Raw genomic sequence first — 19,011 nt, 5'->3', positions numbered from 1 at the left:
AGGCATCTGGAGAAGAGGATGAATTAGGCCTAATATATCAGGTTCAGGATTTTGGATGTTATTTATCAGGACATAGTGAAAATAACTGTACCTTTGTCCTGATATATGCATTGGGTCGCCAGTATATGTATCACTTATCAAACTGAATTGTAATAGACTGACATTTTTAGGCCTAGCTTACTATGGTTTGTAGGACCAATGTGTCTTACATGATGGTCCCTAGTTTGTTACAATTCTGTGACTTTGATCTATGACTATAATAATTACTATGTTTTGCACATGTATGTTTATTGCAGCACTATTTACAATAGCAAAGACATGGAACCAATCCAAATGCTCATCAATGATAGACTAGATAAAGAAATTGTGGTACATATACACCATTGAATACTATGCAGCCATAAAAAGGAATGAGATCATGTCCTTTGCAGGAACATGGATGAAGCTGGAAGCCATCACCCTCAGCAAACTAACACAGGAACAAAAAAACAAACACCTCATGTTTTCACTCATAAGTGGAAGTTGAACAATGAGAACACATGGACACAAGGAGGGGAACAACACACACTGGGGCCTGTAAGGAGGGTGGTGGCTCAGGAGAGGGAGACCATTAGGACAAATAGCTAATGCATGCAGGGCTTAAAGCCTAGATGACAGGTTGATAAGTGCAGCAAACCACCATGACACACATAACCTATGTAACAAACCTGCACATTCTGCACATGTATCCTACAACTTAAAGGAAAAAACAAATTATCATGTTTGTATCCTTGCTTTGTGCTGCAGCCTTTCACAGCTTTTAGTGAGCCCACTTTAGCAACCCCTCTCCCAACTTTCTAAATTATGGTTTCTATTCTGCTACATGCTAACAGATTAAATCATTAAACTTGCTAGAATTATTTGTGAATTAAGACTAAGTTCCATGTAAAGATATAGAGCACATTTGCTACCATAGGTCTGCTCTTGTCCATGGCAAACAATGACAATTTATCATAGTTTCTATTCTCATAGAGTCCACTTAAGATCTCAAAATTTCTTCTTAACACTGCTCTGTGTTTCAGGCAGCAGTTACCTAATTAGTAGAACTCGTTAAGCATGATTAACTCCAGTTTTTATGACTAGTCTAAGAGCTCTCTTTTGAGTACATTCTGTGGGTCTTAACGCTGGAGCTATTTGGTTTCACAGAGGTTTTCTTTGTCATTTAATTTCCGTTTCTCAGCTATGGTCACAGAGTTGTGAGTGTCAGAGAGTGCAGGTGTTCCTGCCCCAAGCACTACATGTTCATGCACTTTAATTGCTTAAATTATTAAGCAGATTAAACTTTTAAATTATAGCCTGGCCTACCAACAAAACTCCAGGCAACGAAAGGCTTTTATGAGCATTCTTGTGATTTGGTCTAGGAAAAACTGGTCTGAGCGTCACAGATTATTAAAACTACGAAGTCCCATAAAATTACTATCTAATTTTACTCTACTAATTTTGCGGATGTGAAAAAATGTAACCAGAGAAGCTAAGTGACTTTCTCTTTTTTTTTTTATTTTAACGGTAGTTATGGTTTTTTTTTTTTAATATACTTTAAGTTTTAGGGTACATGTGCACAACGTGCGGGTTTGTTACATATATATACATGTGCCATGTTGGTGTGCTGCACCCATTAACTTGTCAATTAACATTAGGTATATCTCCTAATGCTATCCCTCCCCACTCCCCACACCCCACAACAGGCCCCAGTGTATGATGTTCCCCTTCCTGTGTCCATGTGTTCTCATTGTTCAATTCCCATCTATGAGTGAGAACATGCGGTGTTTGGTTTTTCGTCCTTGCAATAGTTTGCTGAGAATGATGGTTTCCAGCTTCATCCATGTCCCTACAAAGGACATGAACTCATCATTTTTTATGGCTGCATAGTATTCCATGGTGTATATGTGCCACATTTTCTTAATCCAGTCTATCATTGTTGGACATTTGGGTTGGTTCCAAGTCTTTGCTATCGGGAATAGTGCCGCAATAAACATACGTGTGCATGTGTCGTTATAGCAGGATGATTTATAATCTTTTGGGTATATACCCAGTAATGGGATGGCTGGGTCAAATGGTATTTCTAGTTCTAGATCCCTGAGGAATCGCCACACTGACTTCCACAATGGTGGAACTAGTTTACAGTCCCACCAACAGTGTAAAAATGTTCCTATTTCTCCACATCCGCTCCAACACCTGTGGTTTCCTGAGTTTTTAATGATCACCATTCTAACTGGTGTGAGATGGTATCTCAGTGCAGTTTTGATTTGCATTTCTCTGATGGCCAGTGATGATGAGCATTTTTTCATGTGTCTTTTGGCTGCATAAATGTCTTCTTTTGAGAAGTGTCTGTTCATATCCTTCACCCACTTTTTGATGGGGTTGTTTTTTTCTTGTAAATTTGTTGGAGTTCATTGTAGATTCTGTATACTAGCCCTTTGTCAGATGAGTAGACTGCAAAAATTTTCTCCCATTCTGTAGGTTTCCTGTTCACTCTGATGGTAGTTTATTTTGCTGTGCAGAAGCTCTTTAGTTTAATTAGATCCCATTTGTCAATTTTGGCTTTTGTTGCCATTGCTTTTGGTGTTTTAGACATGAAGTCCTTGCCCATGCCTATGTCCTGAATGGTATTGCCTAGGTTTTCTTCTAGGGTTTTTATGGTTTTAGTTCTAACATTTAAATCTTTAATCCATCTTGAATTAATTTTAGTATAAGGTGTAATGAAGGGATCCAGTTTCAGCTTTCTACATATGGCTAGCCAGTTTTCCCAGCACCATTTATTAAATAGGGAATCCTTTCCCCATTGCTTGTTTTTGTCAGGTTTGTCAAAGATCAGATAGTTGTAGATATGCGGCGTTATTTCTGAGGTCTCTGTTCTGTTCCATTGGTCTATATCTCTGTTTTGGTACCAGTACCATGCTGTTTTGGTTACTGTAGCCTCATAGTATAGTTTGAAGTCAGGTAGCGTGATGCGTCCAGCTTTGTTCTTTTGGCTTAGGATTGACTTGGCGATGCAGGCTCTTTTTTGGTTCCATATGAACTTTAAAGTAGTTTTTTCCAATTCTGTGAAGAAAGTCATTGGTAGCTTGATGGGGATGGCATTGAATCTATAAATTACCTTGGGCAGTATGGCCATTTTCACGATGTTGATTCTTCCTACCCATGAGCAGGGAATGTTGTTCCATTTCTTTGTGTCCTCTTTTATTTCATTGAGCAGTGATTTGTAGTTCTCCTTGAAGAGGTCCTTCACGTCCCTTGTAAGTTGGATTCCTAGGTATTTTATTCTCTTTGAAGCAATTGTGACTGGGAGGTCACTCATGATTTGGCTCTCTGTTTGTCTGTTGTTGGTGTATAAGAATGCTTGTGATTTTTGTACATTGATTTTGTATCCTGAGACTTTGCTGAAGTTGCTTATCAGCTTAAGGAGATTTTGGACTGAGACGATGGGGTTTTCCTAGATATGCAATCATGTCATCTGCAAACAGGGACAATTTGACTTCCTCTTTTCCTAATTGAATACCCTTTATTTCCTTCCCCTGCCTGATTGCCCTGGCCAGAACTTCCAACACTATGTTGAATAAGAGTGGTGAGAGAGGGCATTCCTGTCTTGTGCCTGTTTTCAAAGGGAATGCTTCCAGTTTTTGCCCATTGAGTATGATATTGGCTGTGGGTTTGTCATAGATAGCTCTTATTATTTTGAGATACGTCCCATCAATACCTAATTTATTGAGAGTTTTTAGCATGAAGGGCTGTTGAATTTTGTCTAAGGCCTTTTCTTCATCTATTGAGATAATCATGTGGTTTTTGTCTTTGGTTCTGTTTATATGCTGGATTACGTTTATTGATTTGCGTATATTGAAACAGCCTTGCATCCCAGGGATGAAGCCCACTTGATCATGGTGGATAAGCTTTTTGATATGCTGCTGGATTCGGTTTGCCAGTATTTTATTGAGGATTTTTGCATCAATGTTCATCAAGGATATTGGTCTAAAATTCTCTTTTTTGGTTGTGTCTCTGCCCGGCTTTGTTATCAGGATGATGCTGGCCTCATAAAATGAGTTAGGGAGGATTCCCTCTTTTTCTATTGATTAGAATAGTTTCAGAAGGAATGGTACCAGTTCCTCCTTGTACCTCTGGTAGAATTCGGCTGTGAATCCATCTGGTCCTGGACTCTTTTTGGTTGGTAAGCTATTGATTATTGCCACAATTTCAGAGCCTGTTATTGTTCTATTCAGAGATTCAACTTCTTCCTGGTTTAGTCTTGGGAGGGTGTATGTGTCGAGGAATTTATTCATTTCTTCTAGATTTTCTAGTTTATTTGTGTAGAGGTGTTTGTAGTATTCTCTGATGGTAGTTTGTATTTCTGTGGGATCAGTGGTGATATCCCCTTTATCATTTTTTATTGTGTCTATTTGATTCTTCTCTCTTTTCTTCTTTATTAGTCTTGCTAGCGGTCTATCAATTTTGTTGATGCTTTCAAAAAACCAGCTCCTGGATTCATTAATTTTTTGAAGAGTTTTTTGTGTCTCTATTTCCTTCAGTTCTGCTCTGATTTTACTTATTTCTTGCCTTCTGCTAGGTTTTGAATGTGTTTGCTCTTGCTTTTCTAGTTCTTTTAATTGTGATGTTAGGGTGTCAATTTTGGATCTTTCCTGCTTTCTCTTGTGGGCATTTAGTGCTATAAATTTCCCTCTACACACTGCTTTGAACGTGTCCCAGAGATTCTGGTATGTTGTGTCTTTGTTCTTGTTGGTTTCAAGGAACATCTTTATTTCTGCCGTCATTTCGTTATGTACCCAGTAGTCATTCAGGAGCAGGTTGTTCAGTTTCCATGTAGTTGAGTGGTTTTGAGTGAGTTTCTTAATCCTGAGTTCTAGTTTGATTTCACTGTGGTCTGAGAGACAGTTTGTTATAATTTCTGTTCTTTTACATTTGCTGAGGAGAGATTTACTTCCACCTATGTGGTCAATTTTGGAATAGGTGTGGTGTGGTGCTGAAAAAAATGTATATTCTGTTGATTTGCAATGGAGAGTTCTGTAGATGTCTATTAGGTCCACTTGGTGCAGAGCTGAGTTCAATTCCTGGGTATCCTTGTTAACTTTCTGCCTCATTGATCTGTCTAATGTTGACAGTGGGGTGTTAAAGTCTCCCATTATTAATGTGTGGGAGTCTAAGTCTCTTTGTAGGTCACTAAGGACTTGCTTTATGAATCTGGGTGCTCCTGTATTGGGTGCATATATATTTAGGATAGTTAGCTCTTCTTGTTGAATTGATCCCTTTACCATTATGTAATGGCCTTGTTTGTCTCTTTTGATCTTTGTTGGTTTAAAGTCTGTTTCATCAGAGACTAGGATTGCAATCCCTGCCTTTTTTTGTTTTCCATTTGCTTGGTAGATCTTCCTCCATCCTTTTATTTTGAGCCTATGTGTGTCTCTGCAGGTGAGATGGGTTTCCTGAATACAGCACACTGATGGGTCTTGACTCTTTATCCAATTTGCCAGTCTGTGTCTTTTAGTTGGAGCATTTATTCCATTTACATTTAAAGTTAATATTGTTATGTGTGAATTTGATCCTGTCATTATGATGTTAGCTGGTTATTTTGCTCGTTAGTTGATGAAGTTTCTTCCTAGCCTCGATGGTCTTTACAATTTGGCATGATTTTGCAGTGGCTGGTACCAGTCGTTCCTTTCTATGTTTAGTGCTTCCTTCAGGAGGTCTTTTAGGGCAGGCCTGGTGGTGACAAAAATCTCTCAGCATTTGCTTGTCTGTAAAGGATTTTATTTCTCCTTCACTTATGAAGCTTAGTTTGGCTGGATATGCAATTCTGGGTTTAAAATTCTTTTCTTTAAGAATGTTGAATATTGGCCCCCACTCTCTTCTGGCTTGTAGAGTTTCTGCTGAGAGATCCTCTGTTAGTCTGATGGGCTTCCCTTTGTGGGTAACCCGACCTTTGTCTCTGGCTGCCCTTAACATTTTTTCCTTCATTTCAACTTTGGTGAATCTGACAATTATGTGTCTTGGAGTTGCTCTTCTCGAGGAGTATCTTTGTGGCGTTCTCTGTATTTCCTGAATCTGAATGTTGGCCTGCCTTGCTAGATTGAGGAAGTTCTCCTGGATACTATCCTGCAGAGTGTTTTCCAGCTTGATTCCATTCTCTCCGTCACTTTCAGGTACACCAATCAGACGTAGATTTGGTCTTTTCACATAGTCCCATATTTCTTAGAGGCTCTGTTCTTTTCTTTTTATTCTTTTTTGTCTAAACTTCCCTTCTTGCTTCATTTCATTCATTTGATCTTCCATCACTGATACCCTTTCTTCCAGTTGATTGCATTGGCTCCTGAGGCTTCTGCATTCTTCAGGTAGTTCTCGAGCCTTGGCTTTCAGCTCCATCAGCTCCTTTAAGCACTTCTCTGTATTGGTTATTCTTGTTATACTTTTGTCTAAATTTTTTTCAAAGTTTTCAGCTTATTTGCGTTTGGTTTGAATTTCCTCCTGTAGCTCAGAGTAGTTTGATCGTCTGAAGCCTTCTTCTCTCAACTCGTCAAAGTCATTCTCCGTCCAGCTTTGTTCCGTTACTGGTGAGGAGCTGCGTTCCTTTGGAGGAGGAGAGGTACTCTGATTTTTAGAGTTTCCAGTTTTTCTGCTCTGTTTTTTCCCATCTGTGTGGTTTTATCTACTTTTGGTCTTTGATGATGGTGGTGTACAGATGGGTTTTTGGTGTGGATGTCCTTTCTCTTTGTTAGTTTTCCTTCTAACAGACAGGACCCTCAGCTGCAGGTCTGTTGGAGTTTGCTAGAGGTCCACTCCAGACCCTGTTTGCCTGGGTACCAGCAGCAGTGGCTGCAGAACAGCGGATTTTCGTGAACTGCTAATGCTGCTGTCTGATCGTTCCTCTGGATGTTTTGTCTCAGAGGAGTACCCGGCCGCGTGAGGTGTCAGTCTGCCCCTACTGGGGGGTGCCTCCCAGTTAGGCTGCTCAGGGGTCAGGGGTCAGGGTCCCACTTGAGGAGGCAGTCTGCCCATTCTCAGATCTCCAGCTGCTTGCTGGGAGAACCACTGCTGTCTTCAAAGCTGTCAGACAGGGACATTTAAGTCTGCAGAGGTTACTGCTGTCTTTTTGTTTGTCTGTGCCCTGCCCCCAGAGGTGGAGCCTACAGAGGCAGGCAGGCCTCCTTGAGCTGTGGTGGGCTCCACCCAGTTGCAGCTTCCTGCCTGCTTTGTTTACCTAAGCAAGCCTGGGCAATGGCGGGCGCCCCTCCCCCAGCCTCACTGCCGCCTTGCAGTTTGATCTCAGACTGCTGTGCTAGCAATCAGCGAGACTCCGTGGGCATAGGACCCTCCGAGCCAGGTGCAGGATAGAATCTCCTGGTGCGCCGTTTTTTAAGCCCGTCGGAAAAGCACTGTATTAGGGTGGGGGTGACCCGATTTTCCAGGTGCCCTCTGTCACCCCTTTCTTTGAGTAGGAAAGGGAACTCCCTGACCCCTTGCACTTCCCGAGTGGAGGCAATGCCTCACCCTGCCTCTGCTCGCGCATGGTGTGCTGCACCCGCTGTCCTGCACCCACTGTCTGGCACTCCCTAGTGAGATGAACCCGGTACCTCAGATGGAAATGCAGAAATCACCCATCTTCTGCGTTGCTCATGCTGGGAGCTGTAGACATAGGGATGTTTTAAAGTACTTGAATTTACTGTTAACATGAGCACCGAAAATATGTAAAAGTTGTTGGCTCCCTGCTTCCCTTGGTCTACATCTCTTCCTAAATGATGAAATGTAAGCTGCCACTGTGCTTCAGTTAAAATTGGGGCAGTCACTTTATTTTTTTTTTATTTTTTATTTTTTTGTTATTAATATTATTATTATTTTTTATTATACTTTAAGTTTTAGGGTACATGTGCACATTGTGCAGGTTAGTTACATATGTATACATGTGCCATGCTGGTGTGCTGCACCCACTAACTCGTCATCTAGCATTAGGTATATCTCCCAATGCTATCCCTCCCCCCTCCCCCCACCCCACCACAGTCCCCAGAGTGTGATATTCCCCTTCCTGTGTCCATGTGATCTCATTGTTCAATTCCCACCTATGAGTGAGAATATGCGGTGTTTGGTTTTTTGTTCTTGCGATAGTTTACTGAGAATGATGATTTTGAATTTCATCCATGTCCCTACAAAGGACATGAACTCATCATTTTTTATGGCTGCATAGTATTCCAGAAACTACCGACAGAGTGAACAGGCAACCTACAAAGTGGGAGAAAATTTTCTCAACCTACTCATCTGACAAAGGGCTAATATCCAGAATCTACAATGAACTCAAACAAATTGACAAGAAAAAAACAAACAACCCCATCAAAAAGTGGGCGAAGGACATGAACAGACACTTCTCAAAAGAAGACATTTATGCAGCCAAAAAACACATGAAAAAATGCTGGTCATCACTGGCCATCAGAGAAATGCAAATCAAAACCACAATGAGATACCATCTCACACCAGTTAGAATGGCGATCATTAAAAAGTCAGGAAACAACAGGTGCTGGAGAGGATGTGGAGAAATAGGAACACTTTTACACTGTTGGTGGGACTGTAAACTAGTTCAACCATTGTGGAAGTCAGTGTGGCAATTCCTCAGGGATCTAGAACTAGAAATACCATTTGACCCAGCCATCCCATTACTGGGTATATACCCAAAGGACTATAAATCATGCTGCTATAAAGACACATGCACACGTATGTTTATTGCGGCATTATTCACAATAGCAAAGACTTGGAACCAACCCAAATGTCCAACAATGATAGACTGGATTAAGAAAATGGGGCAGTCACTTTAACAGAGCCTTGTGTCCTGATTGCAGTGGTGTGTGGCTGCTGTACTCCAGCTAGGGGGGCCCTTGCCCTCTCATGCAGGGAAACAGATGACCCAGGGGCTGGAGGTTCTGGATACACATTCTCCTTGTTTTCCACCTACTGTGCCAACATTTAGGATTAAAAGTGTGTGATGGTGTGTTTCCTTCTAAAATTCTCTATCTCTTCTTTGGGAGTCTGGAACTTAGGGATAGCGAGTGTTAGCAAAATAGAGTATATTTGCTTTTGTTCACTCAAGATTTAATACAGAGGAAACTTAATCTTCATACATTTTGTTTTCACATAACTCTAAATGGATTCCTTTGAGCTAGAATTGGCAGCTGTTTCCTGATATGTAATGGAAGCATATGCACCTTAAAGAGGATTTATAAAGGAATCAGATGATATGAGGAAGATTCCCATTAAACAAGGTGAAATTTGACCATACATCCTTGGTAGTATTCATGAGGCAGAAAGAAAATATTGTTGAGAAGAGACCAATGTAGTAGCATAACATCTTTTACAGAGTAAACTTTTTAGGTTATTACTGTAAGCACTCCTACTAAGTGAGAGTAATGCAGACTTAAGAACGTTTCCCTTATTACTCTTAATTAAAGCCTAGTGGCAGCACTAAGGCTAATGGCGAACAAAGCAAAAGTACCTAGTATTTCATTGTATTTTTTCCTATCCTTTCTTCTCTTCATTCCATCATTCTGAGTTACATGGATCTTATGGAATAACATGATGGAGTAATGAAGGTCATTATGGGAGCCACGATTTATTGCTTAAATCAACGTAGAGCAGAATCATTGCAGGATTTGCCAATGTCAATATCCATGTCTTTAGTTACCACATATTAAGTTACAATATCAGTGTCTTTAATTATTTCAGGTATGGAAGAAAATTCAGCTGAAATTTGCTAGAAAATGAGTTGTTTTGGAAAGAGACTGTAGAGAAAGGCAAATGGAAGAAGAAAGCTTCTGTGCCCCCACAGATACCGACTGAAAAGTGTTAGCATGAGCAAAAGTTCCTATCTAATATTATATGCTTTCCTTTGCTCCCAGGTAAGGTCCTGCTGTTTTGAAAAGGTTCTTTTCTTACCTTTGTCTTGTATACATAAAAAATACTACCTTTTTTTCTTGACTGTCCAGAATGGTTGATACTGTTTTTAAAAGGCTCCTTGTCCCCTTAGTTTTATCTTTAAAGTCTTTCAAGCTATTGGCAACTATACCAGATTTTCTATTAACTGCTAATATAATAAACTGTATTGTAATGCATTTTTTTCATAAAAAAAATAGAAAGAAGCTTTATCTTTTTGGAATTGAGGCATTGATTAAATGTTCCTGAAGACATTTATGATATAGATACCCAAAAGTAATACTCAGATTAAAAGCCACTCACCACTAATGAAATCTGGATTGAATGTTTAGTTTGTTTTAAATTTAGAATTAATATTAATGTAGCTGCTGTTTCTCTCTAGATATTTTTATAGTCAATTCAAATTACATTTGTTTGGTTTTTTTCTCTTTTTAAATTAGGGAATATTCCTCAAATGGGCATGTGCCAAGGTGAATATGACCATGTTTGCAAATAATCAGGGCAGTTGTTTTTAAATTATTGCATAATATGATTTAGAAAATTTCTTCATCAGTACAAAAATATATACTTGGTCTAGAAAACATTGTCAAATTCACTGTTGTTCTCAACTGTCAGAGAGTCTAAGTTCTACTAAATTCTGCTGTGTATGTCTTCATCTATACTTAGCACAACCAGCTAAAACAGGATATACTATTCTTTTTTCATCTTACATTTCTTTGATTTCCATAGAGGAAAAATAATTTTTATATGTTCTCTGATAACTACCTTCTCTCAGCAAAATAATTTTTCTTAAGTTCTTTCCTGCTGCTCTAGCAGCCCCTATTGCTTAGTGCTGTTCTCTGATATTCAGGTATTCTGCTGTGCCAACTGTTTTTAGGAAGCATCCCGTTGTATGCTGTAATTTGCAGAAAATGTTCCCTTGGAACTTACAATGGTCATGTTAAAAGAATAAACTGAGATTCCAGTTGGTAAATTAGCTTTGTGGATTGGGTATACATGAATACATTTGGAGTTTGATCATAATAGCCTGAACTAAAACACAAAAAGGTTTTTTTTTTTTTTTTTTTTTTTTACAGTGCAAAACTGAGGACAAAAGTAGAGAAGCAGTAGCTGTGTAGTTAAGCCAACCCAGTTAAATTTCACTTATCTTGGGTGATTGTATGCCATACATACTATATGTCCAATACTGCTAAACACTGAAGGTGTTCTGGAAGTACAGATCTTCTGCCTCAGGGAATTTATATTCTAGTTAGGAAGTTTAAGCACTTAGAGACAGCAATAACTTGAATGCTAATGCATGTTATAAATAAGTACTGAGGAATGTAGAAAAGAGAAAAACTCCACCTGAACTTTAAAAATAATACTATCGAAATGCTCATTTTATGCTTAGAAAAATTGAGGCCCAAAACTGTTAAGAGACATGGCCAGGATCACACAGTGTTTTAGCTTCTCAAAAGGAACTGGAATCCAGATCTCCTGGCTCATTCCAGGTTCTTTACACTAGAGACGTCTCCTAATTTAAGCCTCAGTTATTTCTTTGACAATGATTTCAAGTCAGTCCTTAACTCAGATGCTTATTTCCCGAAGGACGAAGTAATATTTTGACATAAAATTCCTAGAAACCCATTTAATACAATGAAATATCAAAATTGATAATAAAAAGAAATGAAAATTAAATAAAACATCTATATTCATTTACAGATGATTATTAAATACATAAAATCAATTAGTGTAAAAAAGCTGCTTATGTTTCTTTCAGATAAATATTATGTATATCAACTGAGGATACTTAAATATGAATCCAGTGAAATTGGGAATGACAATGCCTTGGAGCAATTCATTGTTCAAGAATCTTTGGACTGAATTCAAAATTAGGGATTTCTGCTTGAATTGTTATTTGCAATTTTATACATATACACATATTTGGAGAGAGGCAGTTTCCAAGACAATGTCTTCTTCCCTGATCTCTTGCTCTCTCCCATTTCTATAGTAGTTAGCTGCAGACAGGCTTGTCAGTGATTGCAACTGATAGAGTAAGAAGTTATCTGGGCTTCATTTTTAACATCAGCACAGTTATTAGGCAATCTAAGTGGAATTTTGGCCACAAGAGAGGGAGCACAAGTCAAAGTATTTTAAATCAGAGATTTCCAATATACTTTATTGGATATGAGAGTTGAAGAAGAGGAAGGAATCAAATTCAGGCCTAAAGACATGGAATTACTGTGTCTTAAACAAAAGTGGGAAAAATAGAAAGGAAATTCTGCCTCTGCTACTGATACAAAGAGGCATGGATGTTTGCATTGAGGTGTATTGAGGCAATAGTGAATGTTTTTATTGGAATGGATCTTTGGCACACTTTGATAGTGTATCTATGCCATTATACTGACAGTTCACCTTGAGCTCACACACATCACTCTCTTCCCATCATACTTCATTCCACAGCGGCCAGATCATGGCTTCCTCTGCCATTTGGAATGCTCCGACCTTAAGCAGTTGTCTCAGCAATGCTTTTTATTTGTTTTTCCTTGAGGCCATGCCAAAGCAAAGCTCATTGAGATATAGCCAAAACTGCCAGATGTTGCTGGATGTTATTTTATGCTCTCTGGGGAAAGCATTGTTTTCCAGTGAAACTCCTCAATTATTTCCTCCAAAAACTTTCTGAAAATTTTACTGAAATAAGTAAAAAATGTAACAAACCTTCAGAGATATGAGATTCTATGAGACGTTGTTTCTGTGTCTCAGATACATCTGCCTGGTGTCAATCCCAAAAGAAGAGGCTAAAGCACAAAATATGATTGAAAGAGTTAACCTGAGCCAAAGTAAGGAAAGCTGCCTGGAAGACTCAGACCCAAGTAACCTTGGATATGAGCTCCATTTGGCCTGTGTTACAAGCAGGTTTTTGAAGGCAAAAAATGGCAGGCAGTGGGCTATCACAAAGTTGTTCGTCAGGAATTTTCACTGGTTTACAGAAATTACGTTGATTATTGATTGGCTATATATTTTTATGGTATAGGGTGTTGGATATTGTGTCCAGTGTAGCATTATTAGATTAATTTGTAGCTACCTGTGGCAAGAGTTTGCAGTTTTTATAGATAAATACATAGCTCCAAATGGGGGGAAGTAGGATGTGATTGTTATTTCATTTGAATGCCTTTCTGGGCCTGATAATTTGAAAGGGCTCACATTCCTCAGATAGAAGTTCTTTTCTTTACTCATTTCTCTTTTTTGATAAAAAGTGTTTCTTCTTGAAAACATTGATGATCAAAATCTGTGTGTCAAGATGTCCCTCATTGCTGGAAAAGCTCATTCCTGGATAGTTCTTTCAAAGTCCCAGCGTGAAGATGTCCCTCATCATTGGGAAAGCACATTCCCTGGTAATCTCATTCCATGCTAGGTAGAGGGAAGGAAAGGAGACATCTCAGCAAGGAATTTTGAAAAGCACCCAAAAGCCAAATTGGGATGGTATCACAGAGTGGCAAAAAATGAGACCTGTCAAGTCACTGATCTATACAGCTGGTGTCACTTGCTGAATAATCTCTATTCTTTGGAGAACCATGAATGTAGTTTTCTCAGAAAATGAAAAGAAATGACAAATACATAACATTAATAATTTGGATAATAAAAATGTAATGTACATAAGAATTATAATCAGCAAGAAAATTTATATGCCAAATAGAAAAAGGGAAACTATTTCCTCATGGAGCAAACTAAAACATCAGGAAGAAAATTAAATGCTGGTTCTTCTTTAGAGATTTGCTATAGTTAAGTGGCTTCTTTTCTAATTTTCCATAGATGAGTTTCTACTTCATAGGAAGTGTTTATGTATACACAACAAAGAATATTTGCCACCACACATATACATCCCTGTTCAGCTAATATATAAAGCAATGTGATTTTCTAGTACAGCCTTAGCTAGTGAATTAGTAGGTTTTTTTGATTTGCTGAAGAAGTAGCAGTTTCATTAGCAATCTTTCCTAAGGTTATAGAAAGACTTCTAATCATGTGTTAATGGGAAGCAACAACCCGCCAAGGCAAAAACACTCTTCCAAAAGCATGCATGGAACTATCTTCTTGATGGTCCGTCAGATAATTAACAGGTTCCCCTCAAATAGAATCTTTATCTCAAATAGATCATTAGTCATGCTCAGAGAAAAGTTTGAAGGAACTAGTCCAATATTGGATTTCTTCTGAGCCATATATATATATATATATATATATATATACACACACACACATACATATATATATACACATACATATATATATACACATATATATATACATACATATATATATACACATATATATATATATACATACATATATATATATAAAACCAAGTATTTTAAAAGACACTACTATTCCTCATTCTATGCCCTTAGATATTTTTATATCCATGGATATAAAATCTCCTTCACAGACAAAAGTAAATGTCTGTGATTTCCTTCACAGACAAAAGTAAATGTCTGTGATCTCCTTCACAGACAAAAGTAAATCCTAGTGGAGTAGAGGTGAGTGTACTATAATTTCAATATATCAGTTTTGGGACATTTTTAAACCATGGGTCAGAAATGTTAGATCAAGAGAAAAGACTGGATCCTGATAGCAGGAGCGATTGTTTTTCTTTTAACATTCTAGCAGCATCATGGTTTTTACCACTGTCATTTCAGAGTGAGGCAGCAGTTGTTTTGACTGTGAGATTCTGATGGGTTAAATTGAAACATGGCAGGTTAGAATGAATCAGACAGACCTATTTGGTTTTGTTTTATGTGACCCCTGAATTGGGTTATGAGTACAATTAGAAATACTGGTGGCATTTAGGACAGAATGTAGCAATGGGTCACTGTCGTCGAAAGTTGTTGGTGGTTTAGGGTGGCAAACCCAGCATCTTGTTAGATTTCCAAATGTAATAGCAGTTTATGAGATATGAACCAGAGAACTATTTCTCCATGCTGTAATTCAATTAATTAGGGACAGTAAAAACTGAAGCTTGATCATGGGCATGTTGCTAAAGTACATATATTAACAATAAGACTAGTATGCTATATCTTAATATATATGTGTGTGTGTGTGTGTGTGTGTATATAAATGTGTATATATGTGTGTGTGTATATATGTGTGTGTATGTGTATATATATATATACATATATATATATATATATATATGATTATTTTACCAAAACCACCAAGAGAGGATTCCTACAATATGAAGGCAGCCTAAAAACATAATATTCCGGTCAACAGAAAAAGGAGATGAAAATTTCAGGCACAGTAATCATTGGAATCATGAGGAACTGGTTATACAGGCCTGAACCAGTATCTTAAGCAGAAGCAGACTACAGCAAATGTCAGTTACTTGCGGTGCTGATCAGGAAGATTGCAGGTCAGCTTTAATTGAGCATGTCTGGTGATAGAAAATGTCCACTCTGGTAGAGCCGCTTTTATAAAATGAGAAACATGAATCCTTGAGTCAACACCCTTAACTTTGGCAGCACAAGGATTGGTCAATACCTGATATGATCCCTTCCAGTGGGGTTGCAGGGAATCTTTTATTTGATGTTGTTTTCAGTTAACAAAATCTCCAGGTTGTAGGCCATGGTCTCTGTTACCTTTATCTCCCTGGAGCTCATTGCGAAAGGAATCCTTTATTAATTTGGAATTTATGGTAGGAAGTTTTGTGAGACCTTGGCAATAATGGAGGATATCACCTTTAAGAAGTACAGGTTCATAAGCTCTTTTATCTAGCCACATAGGCCTTCTTGTTATTATTTCAAAGAAAGAGACTTGACGTTTTATGAGTGGGGTGGATTGTAGGTTGAGCAGAACTAATGGGAGAGGTGCTGGCTAGAGAAAGTTAAAAATTTCTGTTAGCTTTGCATTGAGCTTTTTAATATCATTTGTTCATTTCACCAGTTCAGAGGATTGGGGGTGATGGGCACAACAGAAATGATGGAATATAGGCCAAATGTTACAAATAGATAAAATTACCTGACCAGTGAAGTGTGTTCCTCAGTCGCCATGGAGCTCAGATTGAACTCCCTATGGAAAAAAAAAAAAAAAAAAAACTTTTCTAATAACACTTTTCCTATTACTTTGGCCATGACTTGTCAGCATGGAAATGTTTCAACCCCCAATGACAGAAACGCAAATTAATACCAGAACACACTGGTAACCCTGAGATAGAGGCAGCTGGATAAAGTCCAATTACAATATCTCAAAGGATCCAAAGTTGAAGGAAAATGCCCCTGTGACCCATGAAGGGGATTTGCAGGATTATGTTTGGGACAAACGGTACAGTGAGAACACATTGTTTGTGCAATAGCAGGATATAGTTTTTAATATTTTTTTTCCTCATGCTATCATTTTGTCTAGATTTCAATGAGTGAGCTCAAGAACATACTGTAAGACATGTAATTGAAGCCTTAAGGGAAAGATCAGTCTATCATCAAGTCCATAACATAAGCCCATTTCTGGGGACAACTTGCCGTCTTTATTTTTCCAGAGCTCTATCTCCTTCTTAGGAGCTCCCATTTGTGCTTGTAAAATTGTAAATGCGTAGTAAGTTTGTAAGGTCATTTCAAGACATGCCTGATATAACCTTCAGGGCTGCATGCTTACCTAAAGTGTTAGTGAAATGGTTGTGCTTACTCTCTGGAGTTTCTAATGTCGAATAACCAGAGATTTTGATGATGGCCAATGATTTGGGTTCAGGGATTGCTTCAAAGAGGTCGGAGACTTGTTGACCATTTTTGATGGGTTGACTTGATGAGATCAGATATCCACGTTGCTTCCACAGCATTCCACAATCACGGGCTACTTCAATTCTGCCTGCTGAGCTGATTTAATAATCTGGAAGAGGATTATTCTCCCCCATCTGGAAGAGGATTATTCTCTATAATCCCAGTTAGAGACACAATGACATAAACATCGCTGTAAGTTCCAGATTTATCTTTCAAATAAGAATTATCAGTGAACCAAATTACATCAGCTTTATTTATAACTGTTTCTTGTAGGTCCTGTTGAAGTGTAAGAATTTGGTTGGTCAGGATGATAGAGTAGTGTGGTGTCTTGTCAGTAGGAAAAAGCAAAAGAGTGGCTGGGTTAATATTATAACAACAGGAAATGGTAACCTTAGGTGAGGGCAGAAGAAGACCTGCATAAGAAACAACTCTATTATATAAACAGAGTAATGTTGGGCATGAAAGAAGTTCAGAAGTGTTTCCACTGTATGAGTTAAGTACATGGTGAAAGAGGATCCCATATCTAAAGAGGGTAGCAGTAGCAGAGATTGCTCTTAAGCAAGGTGGCATCCTAGCAACTGCATCAAGTTGCCGGCTGTAATATCCACCGGGTGCATTATAATCCCCATGTTTCTGAGTTAGTATTCCCAGGGCATCTGCCTTGTCTTCATGAATGAACAGGGGAAAGAAAAAGCTGTCAATAGGATGACCTAAGACAGGTGCTAGTTATAAGATGTTCATTGATGACTTATGTGGCTTTTAGTCTCTCTGAAGTCCAAACACAAAGATCAGGTTGATCCATTTCCAGGAGGGTATATAAAGGGTGAGCTATTAAAGAAAAAATATGTATTTAATTTTAACAGTATCTAGCCAATCCCAGAAATCCTCAAAGTTGCTTCTTTGTTGAGGGCTTAGAGTAAAGCAGGACGCCTTTAATCCTGTCTGGGTTTATGAGCAATCCTTTCTTAGAAATAAAATATCCTAAATATTTTACCTGTGTCTGGCAAAATTGGAGTTGCTTTTTAGAAACTTTATGTCCCTTAGGTGCCAATTATTTTAAGAAATTTATGCTATCATCCTTAGAAGTTTGCATATTTGGAGAACAAAGGAAAAGATTATCCACATATTGGACAAGTATAGATCCCTCTGAGAAATATACATTAGCCAAGTCAGATTTCAATAATTGAGAAAAATTGGTAGGGCTCTCATTATAATCTTGGGGCATAAAGGTCTGGGAATACTGGCAGTTGTCATAAGTAAAGGCAAATAAATATTGACTCTCTGGCTCTACTGGAATGCTTTAAAAAAAAAAAAACTGCGCAAATCAGCCACAGTAAATTTCTTACTTTCAGGAGGGACTGCTGCCAAACGAATATGGGGGTTTTGTACCATCGGATGTCTTGGGACCACAGCGTTGTTGATAGCTCTCAAATCTTACAGAAAATGCCAGCCCTTCCCGTTCAGCTTCCTATGGAAAGGGTCAGAATGTTATATGGGCTGATACAAGGAATAATTATACCTTATTATAGGTCTGGTTCTTTCCATTGCTTCGGACCCTAATGGGTATTGTCTAATATTGGGTAAATCTTAAGCAGGTTTACTTTCACTTTAATGGGGGTAGTTGAATATATCTTTTTTTTTATTTTTTTGAGACGGAGTCTCACTTTTTCACCCAGGCTGGAGTGCAGTGGCACGATCTCGGTTCACTGCAAGCTCCGCCTCCCAGGTTCACGCCATTCTCCTGCCTCAGCCTCCCGAGTAGCTGGGACTACAGGCACCTGCCACCACGCCCGGCTAATTTTTTGTATTTTTAGTAGAGACGGGGTTTCACCATGTTAGCCAGGATGGTCTCGATCTCCTGACCTCGTGATCCACCCTCCTCGGCCTCCCAAAGTGCTGGGATTACAGGCGTGAGCCACTGCGCCCAGCCAGTAGTTGAATATATCTTAATGTTAATGGAAGATTGGGACCATAAGTGGTCCAGCAAAGCTTGCAATAAATCATTAGTGCCATTTCCTATTCTTGGTTTAGAAAAAATATGTCAGATCCGTAGTTTTATAATCTCAGTAGTTTAATTCTCATTCTGTAATTGTTCCATTAGCTCCTTCTACTCTGAATTTAACATTTCACCTTTCTGAGAGAAGGAAATGTATGTATTGCAAAGTTCCAAAAAATCTCTGCCTGAGAGGTGTATAGGAGCCAAGGGACCATGCAGAAAGGAATGAAGGTTACTCAATGAGCCTTCATGAAATTCTAAGGATTTGGACTTATATACAGTCATAGGTTGATTAGATACCCCTGCTGTTTGTATAGT

General features: G+C 38.5%; 1 long non-coding RNA gene across 6 annotated transcripts in view; it reads left to right on the top strand.

The window, feature by feature from the left end:
* LINC01278 (long intergenic non-protein coding RNA 1278) overlaps window positions 1-19,011 on the top strand; it is a 134,538-nt gene that overhangs the window by 34,263 nt on the left and 81,264 nt on the right. For 2 of the 6 annotated variants that reach the window (NR_152613.1, NR_152609.1), the window contains exon 2: window positions 16,754-16,889. The exons of 2 other annotated variants lie outside the window; for them this stretch is intronic. This is a non-coding gene — a long non-coding RNA (long intergenic non-protein coding RNA 1278). Of the gene's footprint in view, window positions 1-9,750; window positions 9,924-16,753; window positions 16,890-19,011 lie in introns of all 6 variants that reach the window. 2 more of the 6 variants (NR_152610.1, NR_015353.2) reach the window with 2 other exon arrangements.

The sequence above is a fragment of the Homo sapiens genome, chromosome X (assembly GCF_000001405.40).
Source record: "Homo sapiens chromosome X, GRCh38.p14 Primary Assembly".
In the NCBI taxonomy this organism is placed as follows: Eukaryota; Metazoa; Chordata; class Mammalia; order Primates; family Hominidae; genus Homo; species Homo sapiens.
The sequence above is the reverse complement of the archived record's forward strand: the minus strand, read 5'-3'. Positions and strand labels throughout refer to the sequence as shown.